The 22375-nt window shown below is 34.9% G+C and overlaps 1 protein-coding gene across 8 annotated transcripts in view; it reads left to right on the plus strand.

Moving 5' to 3' along the window:
* Positions 1–22375, plus strand: part of ASXL3 (ASXL transcriptional regulator 3) — a 172977-nt gene that overhangs the window by 33942 nt on the left and 116660 nt on the right. Inside the window, exons 2-3 of one of the 8 annotated variants that reach the window (XM_024451269.2) lie at positions 14713–14910; positions 15158–15160. The exons of 5 other annotated variants lie outside the window; for them this stretch is intronic. The gene's annotated coding sequence lies outside the window, so the exon portion shown is untranslated. Of the gene's footprint in view, positions 1–14701; positions 14911–15157; positions 15161–22375 lie in introns of all 8 variants that reach the window. 2 more of the 8 variants (XM_011526209.2, XM_011526212.2) reach the window with 2 other exon arrangements.

Raw genomic sequence — 22375 nt, forward strand, 5'->3', positions numbered from 1 at the left:
GGTGAAGTGGTCATAAAATTAAACATATATATATATATACACAAACCACACAAAGCAATTAAGAAAACCTCTGTTGGGTTGAAAGCAAGACAATATTTATGAGGTACATTTTAACAATATTAGAGATGCCATATTTTAGATTTAAAAACTATGTTAAATTTCATCAACTGTTTAAAGAGAAGCAGACTATAAATATATATTCCAGTAGGGACATTTTAAAAAGTTTTATAAACAGTATCTATTGTGTTTAGCGTTCCTCAGAATAATGGACATATTTTAGATTTCATGATGTAGAACATGCATTGACATCCCAGATTTTGTCATTATTCTAGTATCAATGAGAATTCTTTATTCCACTGATAACTCTGGAATTTATTTTTACCTCATTTTGTTTAAGACTTTTTATGTTTTCTGTTTTGCGGTCTCTGTTATGATATGCTGAAATTAGAATCTCCACTTTGTACTGTGGTTTATTAAATATGTTGCATTTCTTTAGGGGGATAACATGTCAGAAATTCTATTACCATGTATAGTGACAAACAATAAAATTTCTTGGCATTGCTCTTGGTGAGATTTACGTTGCTAATTAGTGCTTTAGGAGATGATTCTTTCTTGCCGCTGCAATGTTTTGCCTAGAGATAAGAAATAAACGCAAGTAATTTCTACTGCAAAATCAATTCTTATCTGCAGACTCCATGTTGGTGCCCTTCCTTTAATACTGAAATGGTGGTCTAGTTTGTTTGTGTTGGGCATTTTAGAATTACAGTGTTAGCTCACAGTGTCATCCCTGCCATTTGTTAACATCTAATTCTCTCATTGTGTAAATGGTGTGCACAGTCAGCTACTTAGAGAGGGATGTATGAGACAATGGTGTTATTAAACAGAAACATAGGGCAATTTGCATATATTTGTGTGTGTACATGTGTATAAGCAAGCTTCGAGAATAATCTAGTTCTTAGTTGACATAAAATTTTACTTGTCATCATTACTCAGATTAGAAATCTCAATCAGTGCCATTCTTAACTCCCTTCTCCTATATCATCATGGCCAGATGGTTCTGGGTAGTGTTAGTTTTATCTTCCTAAACACGTCTTTCTTTCTGTGTACCATACTTTTTGCAATTCTTCAGATACTTATTCCTTACCTTACCTGGATTATTGCACTATCTTCTTATCTGGTTATCTTATCCCAAGTCTTCCTTCCCCCTTTACAAATCTATTTTTTTCCTCAAAACCGACTGCAGTTTATAGTAGCATTTCTTAATAAGGAATCCATAATCCAGGCATATGTTGAAGATATTGCAGATTTGATTCCAGACCATCCCAATAAGGAGAATATTGCAAAAAAGGGAGTCACACAAATTGTTTGGTTTCCCAGTGCATATAAAAGTCGTATTTGTATACTGTAGTCTGTTGGGTGTGCAGTAGCATTATGTATGTAAAACACTGTACATACCTTAATTTAAAAAATACTTTATGCTGGACATGGTGACTCATGCCTATAATCCCAACACTTTGGGAGGCCAAGGAAAGAGGATTACTTGAGCCCAGGAGTTTAAGACCAGCCTGGACAGTAACAGAAACAGACCCTGTTTCTATAAAAAATAAAATATTAGCCAGACTTGGTGGTACATGCCTATAGTTCCAGATATTAATTAGGGAGGCTGAAGCAGGAGGATCACTTGAGCCGATGTGGTCAAGGCTGTAGTGAGCTGAGATGGTGCCGCTCCACTCCAACTTGGGTGACTGAGTGAGACCCTGTCTGAAAACCAATGATAACAATAATCTGAACCTTCAGCAAGTCATAATCACTTTGCTGGTAGAGAGAGTCTTGTCTTGATGTTGATGGCTGCTGACTGATCAGGATAGTGGTTGCTGAAGGATGGAATGGCTGTGGCAATTGCTTAAAGTAAGACAACAATGAAGTGTTCTGTATTGATTGACACTTCCTTTGTTGAAAGATTTTTGTGGCATGCAATGCTATTTGATAACATTTTACCCATAGTAGAACTTAGTTTAACTGGAGTCAGCCCTCCCAAACCATGCTGTTGCTTTTTATCAACTAAGTTAATGTAATATTCTAAATCATTTATTTGTATTTCAACAATGTTCACAGTATCTTCACCAGAAGAGGATTTTATCTCAAGAAACTACCTTCATTACATATCTATAAGAAGCACCTCCTGACCTGTGAAAGTTTTATCATGAGATTGAAACAGTTCAGTCACAACTTTGGGTTCCACTTCGAATTCTAGTTCTCTTGCTGTTTCTACCACATCTGCAGTTAGTTCCACCACTGAAGTGTTGAAGTGGATCAGAATCCACTTCTTCCATACTCTTGTTAATGTTGCTATTGTGACCAACTCCTGTGAATCATGAATGTTCTCAACGGCATCTAGCAGGGTGAACTCTTCTCTGAAGATTTTCAATTCACTTTCCTCAGATCCATAAGAGGAATTGCTATCTATGGCTTTTACAGCCTTAGGAAATATATGTCTTAAATAAGAAGACTTGAAAATCAAAATTATTCCTTGATTTATGGACTGCAGAATAGATGTTATCTTAGCAGGTATGAAAGCAACATTAGTCTCTTTGTACATCTCCCTCATCTCTTGGGTGACTAGATGCATTGTCAGTGAACAGTAGTATTTTGAAAGGAATCTTTTTTTTTTTTCTTTTCTGAGCAGTACGTCTTAACAGCTTAAAATATTCAGTAAACCATGTTGCAAACAGATGTGGTGTCATGCATGCTTTGTTTTTCCATTTATAGAGTACAGGTGTAGCAGATGTAACATAATGTTTAAGTGCTCTGGGATTTCCGAAATGCTAAATGATCAACTTCAACTTAAAATCATCAGCTACATTAGCCCCAAACGGGAGAGTGAACCTGTTTTTTGAAGCATTGAAAGCAAACCTTGACTTCACCTCTCTACCTATGAAAGTCCTAGATGGCATTTTCTTTCAACAGAAGGCTGTTTTGTCTACATAGAAAATCTATTTCATATAGCCACCTTTGTCAATGATCTTAGCGAGATATTTTGGATAACTTGCTGGGGCTTCTACATTAGTAATTGCTGCTTCACTTTGCACTTTTATGTTATGGAGATGGCTTCTTTCCTTAAGCCTCATGAACCAAACTTTGCTAGCTTCTAACTTTTCTTCTGCGGCTTCCTTACCTCTCCTAGCCTTCATAGAATTTTGACCAAGCTTACCATTTTATATGGGCACTGTTCATGACACCCCAAACAATTACAGTAGTAACACCAGAGATAACTGATTACAGAACACCATAACAGATATGATAATAATGACAAAGTTTCAAATATTGTGAATTACCAAACTATGACACAGACAGGAAATGAGCACATGCTGTTGGAAAAATGGCACCAATAGACTTGCTTGATGCAGGGTTGCCTCAAACTTGCAATTTGTAAAAAATGCAATATCTGCGAAGCATAATAAAGTGAAACACACAAAACATGAAGTATCCCTAAATTCCAGAGACTGTATCACACATATTAATCACTTAATGTGATTAATCAAAAGCTACAGTCTTTTGTATGTTTGATGATTGTTTGATTAAATTGAATATGGTGCTTTTTCTAGTTAGATGGTATCTGGATAAATCTATTATATAATACTCTGATACTATAGGGCTTATATATGAATGATAAAGCCTACATTACACCTTACATTTAGATAAAATTTTGAATTTCTAATCTGGCCGTTTTTATATACATTTGGTTTTACCCAAAATATGTCACTTAAGATGTTTTGGGGCACTGTATGTTTTCTGTACATATTTAATTAGTTTTGAGTTAAATGGTATAACATTGATTAAATAAGTCATAGTCTGCACATGAATATCACTAATTGTTTAAAATAACTGTGTAATCTCTAATAAGTTAAGCTTCTTTTAACTTAAAACTATTTTTAAATGTAGGGACAAAATTAAGTAGTTCTTGAGGAGGATGATAAGATTAGATATTATTGTGGTAGCATTTTCTGAGTAGAAAATCATTATGTGAAATGTTACCCAGCAAGATCAGGTTTCAAGTTTTCAGCACAATCCTAATCGACTTGGGCTTGGGTAACTGTAAAGCCTTTATAGTCAAACATCTGATACTGCAGCCATAGTTGAGTATTTGTGGTTCATTGTGAAATGTCCCGTTATTTTTTTCATGATATGAAAAGTAGAAGTCGAGCCCCACAAGAAATTCAAGGACTGTTGTGTGTGCCTGTGTGTGTGTGTGTGTGTGTGTGTGTGTGTACACGTGCATGCATAGGCACTCACATTTCTGGTAGTTATCACATTGTTGATGTAAGATTGGATTGCTGAATGGGAAGGAAATACTTTTTATACAGAATGCCTCACAGTAATGCAGTAAGCATGGAAGAGGACTCTTAATTACTATTAAGTCCTCCCAGACTTAATTGTGATTGTCTTAGTCAGCTTAAGCTGCTGTAAGAAAATACCATAGAGTGGGTGGCTTAAATAACAGAAATTTTTTTCTCACAGTTCTGGAAGACAGAAAGCCCAGATTAAGGTTGGCAGTGTCCGTTTCTGGTAAGGGCTTTCTTCCTGGCTTGTAGCTGGCTGCCTTCTTGCTGTGTCATCACATTGGCCTTTCTTCCATATGTCTGCGCAGAGACACAGCAAGCTGTCTACTGTCTCTTCTTATAAGGACACCAATCCTATTGGATCAGGGCCCCATCCTTAGGACCTCATTTATCCTTAATCACTTCGCTAGAGGGCCCATCTTCAAATGCAGATACACTGAGGGTTAAGGTTTCAATGTATGAATTTTGAAAGTACAAAGACATTCAGTCCATAACCGTGATTCAGAATTTGGAAGATTTATAGAATTCATAGTATAACATAAGAATATTTCTAGAAATTTTTTGTATCTGATTCATTTTGAAAGTTATTTATAACAATATGCTTAACACAGTACCATGGTTCTATTTTTGCTTACTACTCATATGTGTTTTCATATGTTATTCCTAACATATAAACCAATAAAATTAAGAAGTTTTATATTCAAATATTGACTGGGTGCAGTGGCTCACACCTGTAATCCCAGTACTTTGGGAGGCTGGGGTGGGCGTATTGCTTAAGGTCAGGCCTTCAAGACCAGCCTGGCCAACACGGTGAAACCCATCTCTACTAAAAATACAAAAATTTGCATGAAGTGGTGGCCTGCACCCGTAATCCCAGCTACTCTGGAGGCTGAGGCAGGAGAATTGCTTGAACCTGGGAGGCGGAGGTTGCATTGAGCTGAGATGATGCCACCGCACTCCAGCCTGGACAACAGAGTGAGACTCCATCTCAAACAAAACAAAACAAATATAATGTGTATGTTCACATAACATAAACTCACTTGGATTTTATTTGAAACCTTTGGTAAAAATAGCTGTGGTGACTGCATGTATATTGATGCCTCAAGGCATCAATAACCACTAAGCTATGCAATTATAGCCACGAAATGGCCATTTCTTAATATATCTTTTTATGCTGTCAAGCTTTCTTTCTCCATTCTTCCAAATAATTGAGCAAAAAAAGGTAATTTCAGTGATTTCAGCTTTATCAAGATCTAGGTATAATTTACTCCAGAAACATTGAACACTCTATAAATATTTCAGTGCAGAAATAGGACCCAAAATGGATGTAAAATTACATTGTGTGTGAGTCTTTCCAAGTATCCTATGCAGGTGAAAATCTTTGAGGAGGAATAGGCATTTAACTGGGATGATTTTATTTAATTTTTTTTCTAAGTGGAGCTCTTCTCTTCCTCTCTTATTTCATTGCTTGTGCTCTTAATTGCCACACGCCTGAATGATTTTAGTTTTGCTTCATTGTTTTGAACTTGACAACATAATTCAAATGCAGAACAGTTGATATGCTCACATAGGGACTTCTTTTTATAGTTGATTTGTTTTCAGAAGGAATAAAAATTATATTTTTGTTGAGCCAGTTTTTCTAAAAGCAATAGCACATAATTCTTAAAAATAAGTCTTAGTTCTTTTAGGACAATTAAAAGACTATTTATCCTTTGTCTTCTTACACACCCAAGCAAAAATGAAATTGATAATTGTTTACTGGAACTCAGGTCGTTTTTCTATTGAGTTTCTTTTTTATTAAAAAGTTAAGGCCTGTGCTGGTGCAGTGCAAGATGTCTATATGATATCTGGATTCTCTGTAGTCTGCTAGTAATCATCTCCTGGGCCTGTTCTTAGTACTCAGGTATATATATGCAGGGTGGTTAGTTGTCAAATTAGAGGAACATCACAGAAATTAGAGGACCTCAGAGAAATTAAGATAAAGTTGTGGAGATGTAGATATTACTGTTAAGTTAATTAAATACCTACTAAGCGCCTACTCAGTGTTTACTGTGTAAGATCCTGATAACTTTTTGGAAGTTTTAAGGCATATGTTCATTCCATTAACATTTATTCAGCACATTCTGTGTTCTTGAGACTGTAGAAGTTGTGGGGGTTAATAGATGAATAAAATACCATTTCTGCCTTTGAGTATTTCAGACCATTTTCTGTGTTATTTAATGAGGTCTTTCAGCCTCTTCTCTGTGAAGCATATCTTAAGCCTCATACTTGATGTTATTTTTTGATTTTAAAGTTGATAATTTCTAAATTATCTCTTGAATTATTCATGTATATGATATTCCAACATGTTAAAAAGTATTGTCTTTCCAACACAAATATAAGCTCTTAAAGGAAAGGAACTCATACCTTTGTACCATTAATTTTCTTGGCATAGTGCTGAAATGCTGTGTTTTATATAGTATGTCAAGCAAATTAATAAATAGGGACATGATAATAAAAATAATACCTAACATCTATTGATCCTTTATATTAGGCTTAATGCCAAGGACTTTACATAAATTACCTTGAAACAAAAGATTTGAGATGGGTAGATACTATGTTCCCCATTTTACCAGTAAAGAATCAGAGGCAGATGAGGGTGAGTAATTTGAAAAAGTTCATCAAGCTAGAAAATGATAAACCTGGGATTTGATGTCTGACTTAGAGCCAATTGTTCTTAACCTTTTTAAACATTTGTGGCCTAAGTCTAATAAAACTGTGATTTAAAAAAGTATTGGTTATAAGATTCTATCGAGTAAACACTCCCCTACTGCTGTTGGCAGTTTTTCTGCCTGATTATTGCTATCCTATATGATTACTCACCAAAATGAAAGTCTGGTTTGTCAAAGACAGGTATGTTGAAACTCTTTCAGTTTATACCCTAGTTGTAAATAGTTTTGAAGACTGAAAAAAAAAAAAAAACATTTCCACAACCCACTTACATTTGGAGGATGCAAAACCTCACACCGTTTTGCTTGTCCAACATGAGGATGACCATTTTGGGTAAAGATTTGGGCTTATGGACAGCAGCATGACATATTTTAAATGTAACTTCGTACTGTTTGTTTTTAGAAGATGGTGCTCTGAGGGCAGGAAACGTACTGTGGGTAATGGGAGAACTAAAGACTTCATGAAACTCAATTTTTTATTGTTGATCTTGGACTTACAGATTGAAATTCTTGTTTCTTGCTAACCTACTAGTCAAATCATAATTGCTAACAAAATGTAGATAATCCAAAAGGTAATTTTAGAAGGTGTCAATTTCTACACTTGTGGAAACAATTGCATGGAAATAGTTGAGATTGTCTACCTCCACAATGTTTAGGTCCACCATGTTTAGGTGGAGGTAGAGGGAGGCTAAGTTATTAACATCGTTTTTCCTTTTGAGATACGTGTCTAGGCAAAGAAAAGGAGGCCTGAATGAATGCCCCAGTATAGTTTCAGAAGCAGCATGACTGCATCCTTTAGGAAGTGTTCTTAAGCAGAGAATAAGCAGAATCTTTATCATGACCACTTGTTCATCCACTCTCCTATCACCCATTTATTATACTCCCACTGGGAAGTATGAAAACCTCACCCTTTCCTTTTTATTTTTATAAAAGACATATGCATAATTGCCAAGCAGGGCATGTTTCAGGCCACTGTGGCTATCTTAAATTCATAATGTAGTTCTTCTCTAGCATGTCTGCAGGAAATACAATTCGTACAATGATTATTCAGTTTGTAGCTTAATTTGTGTTCATTGAAGATGACCTGATGGTAGCTAGAAATAGAAAATTGGCATTAATTAAGATTTGTTGGAACAGATTGTTGTCAGTGAGGTAGTTTAAAGAATAGCTCAGATCTTAATTTCTTAAATGTTAGGATTAGCAAGGCTCACTTTGGAAGCCTCCTCTCCCACTCTCCCACTCTCCCCCACTACGAGAAGGAAAGTACTGAACAAGAATACAGGAAGTACTAGTAGGAATTGCCAAAGTTTTTACGGCTTACTCTGTTTTTATTTAACTTTTCGAAATTTTAACTTGATTGCTAAGACGAGAATTATTTATTATTTTTCAATTCCCTTCTTTTTTATTGTATTACTAAAAGTCATCCAATTATAACTTAATTCCCAAAGTTTTATAAGTTACTTTTTATAGTACATAGAGTGGTAAAGTCTTCTCTCCTTTTCTCATAAGAAGGTGATGAGGGATTGTGAAATAGTCTCTGAAGCATTTTGAGTAACCTGGAGCAGATAATTATTTAAACTTTTGAATCCAGTCTTCCCTGTACCCAACTTCCAACCACCTAATTTCCCCAACAATTTCTAGTCTTTATTAAAAGGGTACCTTTGTGATAAGAGAGTAGGGGGATACATAATTTTTAATAGCTAAGGAGTTGTGTCCTTTGGTAAAAAGAAGGCCAGGACTAGTTTCCACATGGACCATTTACTGTTGTTTATTACTATCCCAATTTTAAACCATGCTTGTGAGAATTGATCTGAGAGGAAGCTTCCTCTTCAAAACAGATCATTCAAAACAGCCCCTACCACATTAGGATGCAAACTAAGACATGAATGAGGTTTATCTGAGAATTATATTTTGTTTCTGGTAAGGATGTTTTAGATCATATAGTTTTAGACTTTTGTTTCACAAATCAATAAACTAAGGCTTAGGAAAAGTGAGTGAGTTGTCCACAATGATAGTCAATGAATATTTGACTCATCTTTAAGCTTAGAAGAGGCTGATTATTTCAGAATTTAAGAAGAATGTACAAAAGTATATTCAAAAGTAAGTGAAGGCTGAACCCTGTGTAAAGAAAGAAGGATCAATGTTCTGTTCTTACGTACTATTGAAATGGAACTATTGAAATAGTTCTTAGGTACTATTCAGTGGGTTTGGCCATTGAAAGGAATGGCAAAAACCGCAATTACTTTTGCACCTACCTAATAGTAAATAGTTGTAAAACTGTTGGCAGGAGTTAGGGATGCAAGAGAGATTGTACTATAATTTGTACTTCAAATAGTGATCTAAAATTTTTGATTCTGGTCTCATTGGCTTCTTGTTGCCACCAGGACCTCACCCAAAGGAAGACTGAAAAGAACAAGGAAGGGACTGTGACTGGCTCAGATTCCCACCATGGGTTGGTGGAGAGAGCCATTGAGCTCAGTAAGGCATGGTGAGCCAATGACGACCTCGCAGAGAGAAATCATTGAATTGAGTATTATTTTCCAGTTTTTGTTTGGAATGCATTTAACTATGGGATATGTGAGGCAAGGGCCAATAGATTTGTCTGTAGACAATTTGATTAAGAGGGTTTGTCCAACAGCTATTCTCTTTTCAGATTTTCCCCATGGACTTAACAACCCACTCTGTTTCTTTATTTACATTATATTTTATGTTTTCTGATTGAATTTTCCTTCTGTTTCTCTATAAAAAATAAAATGGATAGCAATTAAATATTTAAATATAATCACAGTAAAATATAATGGTCTGAAAAGCCCAATCAGTAAATGAAAGCATTGTGAAGTAATGTGAAGAGACAGTAAGAATCAAGTTTTCATTTACCGATTATTTTTTCTGGCATTAGTAACATTTAAATTTTCTTCATGAATGGATCTTTAGTGTATCAAATGCAGTATATAATATATGTAATGATTATTTTACTGATTAAAAGCAGCTAAATCCAATATAATTCAGAGCTATCAAATGCTTTGTGTAATTAATTCATTATGTGTTGTCTTATTCATCACATACAAAATGGTGATATTGATCCCTGACCTTCCTATTGTCTAGGCTTGCTATGTAGACTAAAATTAAAACATGCATTTGATAGCCTGTTACAAGTGTATGCTGCTGATTTTATTAAACCCTTTGCATTTAATTTAAATATTTTCAGATTGTTTTTCTTAGTTTGGAGAATCAAGATCCAAGAAATTAGCTGTTTACTTTATAGCACAATCTATTCTGTAAGCTGATGTGTAAGTTTGCATGGGTATCATGGAGTCCCAAAATTTAAATGACATAATCAAATAGAAGTTCACTTTGCATGTTGCAGTCTGAAGGTGGGTAGTCCTATGAGTTATGAGATAGCTGTGTTACCCCAGGATATCAAGGAAGCTAGGTCCTTCTGTCTTGTTGCTTTGCTGTCTCTAGGATTTTGTTCTTATCCCAGTGGTCTCAGATAGCTTGCAGCTGGAAGAAGGGGCATGCATAGTCCCTTTAAAGACATGCTCTGAAAGTTGAATAAACAGTTCTACTCATGTCCCATTGGTTTAGACATACACTTGCACTGAGCTGAAAGGGAGGCTAGAGAATAGATCTTTATTCGAGGAGGCATGTTCCAAGATAAAAAGTGGAGGATCTTAACTGTAGGGAAGGGTCCTTCTTGGAGAACAACCACCAGCCTCTGCCAAATCTGTTTTTTCATTAAATCCCATGTGTGGGCTTGATTTATATTAAAGATGTGTTATCACTTTTTACCTTTGAAAAAAATTACCTATATAGTTTACACAGACACTCCTTATATTTTAGGTCTCTCTGACAATGCTGAGCCTCTAATGGCCTTCACCAATTTTTGCTCTCCACCCCCACCTTCAAGGCCTAATTCAAATGTCACATAGCACCTCCTTGTGAAGAATTCTTTCACTCCTTTAGCTTCAATTAATCACTTTATCTTTGCAATTTCATTTTAACGTAATATGTGTGTTCTTCTGTTGCAGTATCTAATAAACTCTCTCAATTTTTCTTGTAATAGGACTGCAGTTTGCTTAATTGGTAGAGTTCACGTCTCATTGATCTTCTCTTCCCCATGGTGTCCTTGTTAATACTGGACTTGTGATATTTTCAGATTGAATGAGTGGAAATTTGAATTCTAGCTCTGTTTCTTCTTTGAACATAATGTGTTATCTTGGATAAGTCACTTAGACTATTTTTCTTGTCTTTCCAGTAAAACAGGGGAAATCATAATTCTTGCATCAAACTATTATAAAAATAAAATAATTTGCAAAAACTTGAAAAATGTTCTGTCAGTTGTAAGATATTTAGTTTATGAGATGTCACTGTTTGCTGCCATTGTTAGAAATTTGGAGAAAGATAATCAAGATAGAATGAAATCCAATTTGCATTCTAAGATATTTTACAGCAGTATTTTGGCATACTGGTGCCAAATGTTTCATGTTTCCATAAGAAATATTAAAATATCTGATATTTATTTTTTATCTAAAATTTCATCAGTAGTTAGAAAAGGGAGTCTAGTTAGTGTTCTTTATTCAGATTCCATGACAGGATATAAAACTACTGTTACTTAATGAAGCAGAGCCTCAGTTGTTTTTAATATATATTAACGACTAATGTTGGGGCTGGGTATGCTGGCTTGTGCCTGTAATCCCAGCACATTGGGAGGCCATGGCAGGAGGATGGCTTGAGGCCAGGAGTTTAAGACTATTCTTGGAAATATAGCAAGACCCCTTATGTACAAAATAAAAAAAACCAGCCAGGTGTGATTGTGCATACCTGTGGTTCTAGCTACTTGGGAGACTAAGGTGAGAGGGTTGCTTGAGCCAAGAAGATGCAGGCTGCAGTGAGCTGTGATTGTGCCACTGCACTCCAGCCTAGGTGACAGAGTGAGGCCTTGTCTCAAAAATAAAATTAAAAAGAAAAACTAATTTTGGGACTCCAATATCAGGGATTGGGATTTTCCTGATGTACACTCTACCTATAAGTAAATTATCCTTTATTAACTGAGATGCTTTATTTGGATCTTATTTGTAACTCAGCATTTTTTTTTTTTACTGTGAAGTTAAAACTTTATGTAGCAAATTATACCTATTGATATTTCCTAATTTGCCATGTTTGGTATAATGACAGTTCATTTACAATAAATCCCAATTCACTTAACATATTAGTGCTCAGGTTTTTTTGTTGTTGTTGTATTTTGGTGGAGGCAGTGGTGATATTTCTTTAGCTATTTTCATACTTAGGTCACTTCAACCTTCTGAATGTATGATATTGATGTAGAATTTCCCTTGCTTTCCCACCGTCCATACTCATAAGTGTTAACAGTAGTATCCCGACAGTATTTCTGCCCATTATCTGATGGGTATGTTTTTGGGGAAAAGGGATGTGTCTTAAAGTCCTGTGTCTGCACCGTCATCCAAATTTTGTTTGAAATGTGATTATGAAGCTTCATATACACAAAATGGAAATTTGGAGAAGAGACTTTAGGGAGCAAAACCAATTTGCTGTCTCTTAGGAGGTGCATATGTATGTAGGAAATAATTCTTTGGAAAATCTGTGTCATTATTTGTGCGCTTCTGTCTTTGAGATCCTCAGTTTAATATTTATTGAACATTCATTATATGCTAGGATTTTTCCATTATACTGAAATAGTTTGCTGCCTGTTAAACTAAATACAGCATAGAATATATTTTAATTATGAACAGTAATCTGGTTTCCGAGATTCTTGTAAATTGCACATACATACACTAATGCTTTAGCCTCTGTTGGTTATTAGGATCACTGCCACGTTAATACTCCTTTATCATTTAAGATACAGATGGTTAGTGCTCCTGGGAAACTTCCCCCAAGAAATATGGTTTCTTCTTTTGTATTCCTTGGGGGAATTTCTAGTGTATCATTATCGTTGTTTTTTTAATAACTCTTTCTCTGAACTAAACTATGAATTCCAAGAAAGCTGGTAGCATATCTCACTCGTTTGCACGTCCTGTATGATTCCTAGATCATAGTGGCCATCACAGCAAATGTTTATTTGACTGAACATATATTACTTAGACATCTTTAGCCAATATTTGTATAAGGAATGGTTTGAGAAGATTCTTGTACTTGACTGTGATTGGAACCTCAGGTTATGCAACAGGAAGTCAGTATGTCAAACATGAGAATTTAAAATTTTAGGAAGAAAACTACTTCATATTACTAAGCAACCAAGTGAACTCTCTCTTTCAAAATAATGTTTTCTGAGTTTTATGCCTAGGTGAGTCAATTCTTTGCATTATCCTTAGTGAGAGACATGTTATTCTTTATGAGATATAGTGAAGTTAGTGAAGATGTCCAGAAAAACATAATGAATGTTATGTTTGCTATCTCAGGTCCAAATCTATCTAAAAGGTTTCTAGGTATCTGACATCAGCAGAATAATTGACATAGGAACCAAAATATATACCAAGTAGGTAGGGGAGGCAGTACACCAAGTGGATATTTCCAAGTTTTCTTTGTTTTAATATAGATAGAAAATAACTGACAAGGATGGAATGGGGTCAAGTAGAGCAAGTTAAGTGGAGATAAGAAGACAGAATTCTGTTAACCTTAAATGCAATTATATATGATGAGCATTTTTATAGATAGCAGCTTGACTCAAAAATAATTTAGGGTAAGTACATAGAAAATAATGCTGCAGTGATTTAACCCACTTAATTTTGTTTTAGATGTATTCTGGAACTAGAGGAAGTTGGTAAAATTTGGCAGTAGGACTAAAAGTTCCAGTTGTCACTATTATGGTAGTTTAGGTGAAAGGGGCAAGCGGAAAGGAAATAGTCCTCAGTCTTTTTATAATAAAGGACTCAATGAAAAAAAAACAGTGAATTCTCTGGTTCAACTTTAAATACTCTATGTAATGTCTATTACTTTGTTTCTAAAAAGCCTATTCATTAAGGAGAAGGAAAATGGAAATTCTTTTACTTGGTTTGAATTCTTTTTTGATTTTTATGTATGATAGCTATTGTAGCTCCATTGATCATTTAAAAAAAAATCTTACCATTTCAAGTTGTTGTTCCTTCTAAGGTTCCTGGCCCTGCTCCATCATAAGCAAGTGCAATCAGTCTTGAGCTCTTTGATCAGGAGGGAGTCAGATAATGCTGTCAAGGTGATGGTAGTTAGACTTATGAAAGTGGTGGGATTCAGGAGGAGTCAAGGCACATTTTATAATATCAAATAGACCTTCAGGGGTTAATCTGGCATTGCTATTCTATCTGCTGGGTCAAGGCTTTTTTTTTTTTCCTCATGCTCTTTTAAATACTGGATTCTGTCCACCCTGTTTAGAAGATTAGCCTTGGAAACCAATATTGTGTTTTCTTTCTTCCCTTCAGGACAAACTATTTTCCATTTGGGATCACCTCAACAACCTTAACAGGCAGCACCAGGTCTTCATATGCTTTTAAGTTTACCTTCTGCTATGGAAAGGATCTTTCCTTGAATGTTCATATTTTCATCTTGAGAAGGCAATATATATATAGGATTGGTTAAGCAGCTGTAAATAAATATGACAAAATAGAAGAGTGGTTTGTGGGAGTTTTACTATATATACACATATATAATATTTTCCAGTCTGGTTTCAGACCCCGGCATGGCTTGGAGACAGCGTTGGTGTGTATGAAGGATCTTCCTCCAATGAAGGATTTGGGACAACTTTCCATGATGATTATATTAGAGCCTCAGCTGCTTTCGTGTTGGTCATGAGGTGATGCTGAACCGAATGCTTGAACTAGCAGGAGTGGCTGGGATTGCATTGGAGTGGTTCCGTTCATTCCTTCCGGGTAGGTACCAGCTAGTGACGTTGGGTGAAAATGGACATTGAGGGTCTTCCCGTAAGGAACCCCATAAGAGTCACTCATTCCCCTGTCATTTAGTGGGCATGAGAGGACAAATGGACAACTGAAGGCCAGGCAGTGCGATTTGAATGACTGGGTAGAAGGTTATGAGAGTGATTCCCAGATTGGTGTCGCTCACATATGTTATTTCTGTTTTGTCAGTGTGACAGTGCAGTCTAGAATGGAAAGTGAGAAAGTGTGAATTGTTGGAAAGTGAAAATTTGAGAGGCTCTGGTGTGCTTTCTAATTTCTCTGTCTGAATTAACAGTTTGTGTAAACTGTGGCCATATTTTAACCACAAATTTATCTAAACATGAAAATCCTATGTAATATTAGATAGAAATGTTTTATTTTCCTTTCTTGTATATATCCAGAGCCTTTTTCCCTGTGAACATTGACTGCATCTCCATGATCTTTCTTGCTGAAGTTGTAGTCTCCTTGTTCACTCTTTTCCTTGGGACCCTTTTAAGCAAAGTAGCATGATGACATTAATAAATATTCTTGAGGCTGATTTTTCCCGGTGACTGTTTTATCTTCACTGAAAGCACTTCATTATTCTGATTCTGCTTTCCTAAGAATCAAATTGGGTTGTAGTTTTAAGGAATTTGCAGCATAAATACTGCCTCTACTTTGCCTTAAACTGCTCATGCATTTTAAATTTTTACAAGGAATATACTAGAGTTTCTCCAATTTTGAACATGTTGCTTAGAAATGTGGTGCTTGTTCTTGGTTATTTATTTATATAATATGATTTCAGTATTTTCCTTTAGACTAATGAAAAGCTTGCTGAGTGTTGAACATGAAAGAAGTTTATTAGGTCTAAGAGTAGAATACAGGTAAAGAACTGAAAAGAAAACACAGATGTATGTGTCTGTAAATATCATTAGAACTGTCTGTTCAATGTCATTTTGGCAAAAAGGCAGGAAACTAACATTTATGTAGTAACTGATCAGTGTCAGGCACTGAGCCAAGCAGTTTCTATTTTTTTTAGCTGATTTATTCCTGATGGTAACATTGAGAAGTGGGTGCTGTTTCTTCATTTTACAGATGAGGAAATTGGTGCTGAGAGAAGCTAGGTATCTTGCCTAACTTCACACAATGATAAGTGGAAAGATCTATTATTTGGCCTCGGTCTCGCCCATTCCAAAGCTCAGTATTTCCGTCACTGTGGGCCACAGGCAAGCGTTAGACTTGAAGTGGGGTCCCTAGAGAAAAGATTTTGAAAAGAAGAAGAAAATGATGGTTAGGAGACATGAACAAACCAAGGAGGAAATGAGAGACATAGGAATGTATTAGGATAATGTTGATTTTGAAAATTTCCAGAGTTTTCCTCACACTTAGTTTGAAAAGCCAAGTGATAAAAGGAACAATTTTAAGATTATCAAATGAACAGGTTTAGAATTTTGGATTTTCTATCTTTGTTCTGACATTTCTTCACACTCTATGCTGAAAATGAAGTAAAGATACCCCACACTGGATCCTAGAAACTTACTCTAAGGATCTGTGCATGGAAGGCAATCAGGTGGTTAGTAATTAATTATCTGAGGAAAGACAGCATTTGAAGACAAATATCAGGTGTTTACTGTTTATAAAAGCTTTTTTTGTTTTTAATGTGTCTGCAAAAATTTTTCTATGTGGAACGTTGGCTTACCACTGCTTTTAAGTATAACATGGTACATATGACAGAGATGTGGTGAATTCTTGTGTTCTACTTAAAGAGTAACTTGTCTGGATTTCAGTAAATGGTTGTTTTCATCTTTGGATGGAGTTTGAATTCATACTAGCAGTTTTCATTTTTATGTTGATGATCGCTGTCTCTCATCATTACAATAGATTTATTTCAGGTGTAGTCAGAGAGGATGTTGTTTCTGTGCTTATAAATGGACGTTGACACTAGAAAGGTTAAAGCTGTTACTGTTATCCTAACGTCATGTTGTCATTACTGATTGTTACTAGTACCTTAGAAAACAATCCCCCCACACGCCAAAAGAAGTAAAGCCCTTTAACTGTAATGATTTTCAATGTCAATGCTATATTTTATCTACTATCAACTCCTGAAGTAACATTTGTAATTGAATTCAGCACCTTAAGATTTCCTGACTTAGCTTTAGTGAGATATTGATTTCATGAAATTAGGTGGCAGGTGTATCCAGAAACTATTTCCTGAAAGCTTTAAGTGGCAATATAAAAGACCAAGAACATTAATTCAAGTTAAATGAGTTGGTTGGAGTTGTGCTTACTTAAATAAGATGCTTGCCAAATGGCCAGAAACTGTGATATCCCAAGTTGTGTTTTTAGGAAGATTGAAAAATGAAGGGAAACAGAAGAATATTTATCCTTTTGTTACGTAAACCTAGGTAGTTCTCTATAATTTTAGCCATGGTTTAATCAGTTGCCATTTAGTTAGTTGATTAAATAGGGGCCCAGGTTTAAGATAATTTTTTTCTTGAACTACTACCTTGGCTCTCCAATTCTCTTTTCTACCCCGATTACATTTACATATTCTCCTTTTTCGTTATTGGAATTGCTCTCTGGAGAGTCTCTGTGTGTCTGGTTGGAACATTGATATTGCTGTCAAATAATGCACAGGAAATCTTATTTTGTTTATAGATACATTTCTCCTCATGGGTAATCAAAACGCACGTTTTTTCCTAAGGAAGATATTTCTGTAAAACAAAAGTAATACTTACATAACTGATTAGTAGCATTGCTTGTGGAATTTATTAATATGTATGTATAATTTTATAAATTTTAAAAACTATTAGCTTGCAACATTGTTATTTATTCTCTTTAAACATTTACATTGATCCTAGTCATCTTGACCTTTATTTTACTGGTTTTAATGTACGGAAGAAGAGTATTAATATTGGCTTGTAGCAAGCATAGGCATTTCTGCGACCCCCTGCTCTGAACTTAGGTTTCTCATGAATCATATTTCCCTGAGGGTGAAATTAAAACAAGAACTAGGTGTATTGAATTTCTTTTAGGCCTACTACTGGATTCTTAAGATGTATTTTTAAGTGTCACATACTAAGTCTGGGGAGGGGAAGGGTGCTTAAATTCACTGCTCTTTCTAGTTATACTTCCTTTCTAAAGCCTCTTGTTTCCATAAGAGGACTTACTTTGAAATTCGTCCTTTTGTAAAGTTTGTTTTTACTTCATAATTCTATCTGCATTTTACATATATATATTTCACACCATCCTAAATAACTATGATGTTTGAATTTCACAAAACTTTCAGTTTACTACAGAAACCTATGGCTTTTTTTTTTCTAGAAAGCTTATGTTTTAAAAAGTATGTTTATATGGTAGCACTTCTAATCAAAATGGAAACCACCAGTGGACAAAGTACCTTGAGAATATAGGTGGATAAAGAAGGAGGAGGAGAGAGGAGAAAGAAGCTAAATTAAATTGGCACTCGTCTTGTGTTATGAATGCCAGTCTTAACACTAGTGGTTAAGTTAGTTATTTTTAGACATTTCCTTTATCAAACATTTAAAGGTAAAATTTTTCCCATAGCCAGCAAAATGCTGAGCTGAATTCTTTTGACATTCTGCTGATCAAGGAATTTCAGATGAGTAGTATCAGAATTTTCTGGAGAGAAAGGGGTAGGAGGATGAATCAAAAATTAGATAATGAACAAGGAAACTCTGCTGTTTTTCTTTCTGAACCATAGAAAACAATTACAAATGATAATTTTTTCTTCAACATGTAATATGCTTTTCTTCAACATGTAATTTTTTTACATTTTGAAAATAATTTTTTCTTCAACATGTAATATGTGTTTTATGTTGAGAAAGATACAGACACAATCAAAAATGTAAATATGAAAAGTCATACCAATAGAAAAAAATTAGAAAAAATTTAAATGTAACATTTAAATCCACCTTTGACAGGGAAATAACTTCACAGTTAGAAGCTGTGAAATAAACCACAAAGGAAAAGATGGAGATAATTGGCTACATAACATTTTATGTATCTGCATATGAAAAACAAAACATTAAGTCATAAACCATGGAGAAAATATTTTTAGTTAATATGCTAGAGGTATTATATGAAGAGATTATTAAAACAACAAGAAAAACCAATGACCCTCTAGCATCATGGTCAAAGGACAGGAACAGCAGAGGAGCTCTAACGCATAAAACTAAGGAATAAACAAATATGTGGATAAGCATTCAGTCTTACTAATAATCCTAAAAATCAGAGTTAAAGCAACCCTTGAGAATTGTTTTTTTAGTTCACCTAATAAATTAATCAGTCTTTGCATCTCATTCTTGATTCCAAGTGATGCGTCTTGCTTATATACTGCTGGTGAGAATGTAAACCAAAACAATACATTGAAAAGTCAGTTGGCATTATTCACAAAGGTCATTAAATAACCCATATCTCATGAATTAATAATGCCACTCTACAAACCTAATATAAAGTATTCTTGATTATATAAGAAAAGAATATAATATGCATTAAGATATTCATAGCAGTGCTATTTTAATTGTAATTAAAGGACAATTTAAATGTTCGCTGCTGATATCAGCGACTCTCAAACTTGGTTGCACATTTGAATCATTTGGAATGATTTAAGAAAACACTGACACCTCAGCCCCATCCAGATATTTTTACTTAATAAGTGTGAAGTTGGCCCTGACATTTGCATTTTTTAAAAATTTCCCTAAAATTCGAATATATAGCCAGGTTGAAGACCACTAACTTGAAACAAGTTTACAGAATATTTTAAACCATTTGATGTGATATTTTTGATAGTTTTGTGGTAGTATGTAAAATGATATAAATATTGTTATTCAGCATTTAAATAAATTATAAATTTAAAATGGAAAGAATTAGGCTGGAAGAAAGTTTACAAAGTGCTTAGAGTTATGTTCAGGAGTTGGTATATTGAGTGATTTTTCTCATCTTTTCTTCAATTTGCATTTAGTAATGTTCTTGTATTACAAAGAAAAAACTGTATTTAAAGAAATGGTTCCTTCTGGCCAGATCGCCTAGATAGCTTCCTACTTACAGGTTATTTCTACCTATGAGTAGAGAGATTTATTCTGGCTTATAAAACAATTATATGCTGATGCTAGGGTATATATCATATTATAATAAAATTCTTATAGGATTTTTTTCCTTTCTTTGATCTTAGTAATATTTTCTCATATAGTTTTCTGAAGTTTGGAATATAAAGAACTCACATCAGTCATTTTTCTCTTATTACTCTACAACCATGACAATCACTTGTCACCATTTTCTAAATACTGTCTGTATACTGGTAGCTGCCCCAGTGTTTATCCTGAACACCACCATTAACTCTCTGATGCATGTACATATCTGAATTTTGGATGCATACTGTTAAATCACTGAGTCCAGAACTAAATTCATCATATTGTCAAACTGATTTCTTCTGTATTGTCCATCTTAATTATACCACCATTCTTCTCTAGTTCCCAGTCCTAAACTCCTTCTTCTCCTTTATCTCACACATTTTGTCAGTGTCTTTGTCCAAAAAGCAACAAGAAAAAACCAGCCTACTGTTTTGTTTTGTTTTTTGTCTTTGCATGTATTTCTTGACTTTCTCCACATTGCTGCCTACCATTAGTTCTCTGGCGAAGCTTGCTCCATCTTCCCTGCAGGCCAGTCCCGCAGGCTTCTAACTGGTCTGTCTTCTAGGTGTATCTCAGCTGAAATCTATCTTTGTGCTAATAAATGGACAAGAGCACCTTCCTTGTTAAAGTCCTCTGGGGCTCTCTATCATCTCCTGCATGAAGTCTAAGCTCCTTGCCATGGCATTTAAACTGTGGAACTAAATGTCATGAGCCATGAAGTGGTGTGGACCTTCCCTCTGGAATCTGATTCCTATCCTATTCGCTCTTCTACTCCTCGCTCTGGAATCACGTTCCTGCACACCACATTCAGTTCTGTCCATTTGTGCTTCCCTTGTGCTGCTCCTCCCACGTGGTATGGCCTTTTCATCTCCACCCCTGGAGTGAATTAGCAAAAATTTAAAGATTGATACTATCCGTCATTAACTAGTTACTTTCATTAGAAGGTAATTTGGAAGTAGCTATTAAAATTTACAAAGCACACTTCCAACTGGAAATACAATCTTTTTATTTATTGTAGGAAGATAGTTGTACATAAACAAAGAGAACACTATATAAAACTCTTTATTGTAGCACTTTTTTCATGGATGAAATTAAATGCAAACTAAGTGTTCTGTAATAAGGAAATACTTAAACGAATTATGATACAGTACATATATTTTATAGACTCTTAAGAACATTACGTGGATATTAAAAACATTCAAAATCTTATAATTAAACTAATTTGCATTTTTGATATGTTACTTTTTGGTAATGTCAAATTACATTAATGCCTTATACATCTTATCAATTTTCCACTATTTGTAAGCAGAATATACACTTGTAAAAAATTCACGCATGGCGCGGTGGCTCATGCCTGTAATCCCAGCATTTTGGGAGGCCAAGGGGGGTGGATCATGAGGTCGGGAGATTGAGACCATCCTGGCCAACATGGCAAAACCCTGTCTCTACTAAAATACAAAAAAAAATTAGCTGAGCGTGATGGCGCGTGCCTGTAGTCCTGGCTACTCGGGAGGCTGAGGCAGGGGAATCACTTGAACCCGGGAGGCAGAGGTTGCAGTGAGCCAAGATCAGGCCACTGCATTACAGCCTGGCGGCACAGCAAGACTCCATCTCAAAAAAAAAAAAAAAAAAAAAATTCAAGTAACAATTAATAAAGTAAAATGTTAAGGCATTGAAAGAATTCTATAGAATATTAAGAGCAAAAAATGTTTTCATTTGTATTGAAAATAAATGTAAAAATCTAAACCATAAAGTTGAATATATGCATATATATGAATGTAAATACAAAAAGATCGGGAAGAAATCATGGTTGACATTTAATAGTTATTCATTCTGAGGCAGTGGATGGGATTGAGGGGAGTTGAGGAGGACTTTTAACTGGGTATAATGATGTACTTTTGCACTTTCCATGTAATTACATTTGCTTGCATGAAAACATTAATTGAATCAAGGCAAGAATCTGACAAAATTAGAGAAGAGTCACATTGTGAGGAAGAAAATAATAAACAATTTTTTTCTGCTTTGAAAATACAGCAGAGTACCCACGTTCCAACAAACAGTAGCTGGAATTAACAGTTGTGGATGTGGCATAGTTGCTTCTTTTTTTTTTTTTTAATAAAGTCTAACAAAAAGCTGAAGTTGCTTTGATTTCCTCTTCTTTCTCCTCAGAAGCAGTGTCATAGATTTGCTGGGTATTGTCATAGTTCAGAATTTATACTTTTATTATGAATCTATAGGGGAAATATATCTAAATCTATAGCTATAACCTATTGAACATTTAAGTTATTTACAATTTATTTTTCCTA

Source organism: Homo sapiens, chromosome 18 (genome assembly GCF_000001405.40).
Source record: "Homo sapiens chromosome 18, GRCh38.p14 Primary Assembly".
NCBI lineage: Eukaryota > Metazoa > Chordata > Mammalia > Primates > Hominidae > Homo > Homo sapiens.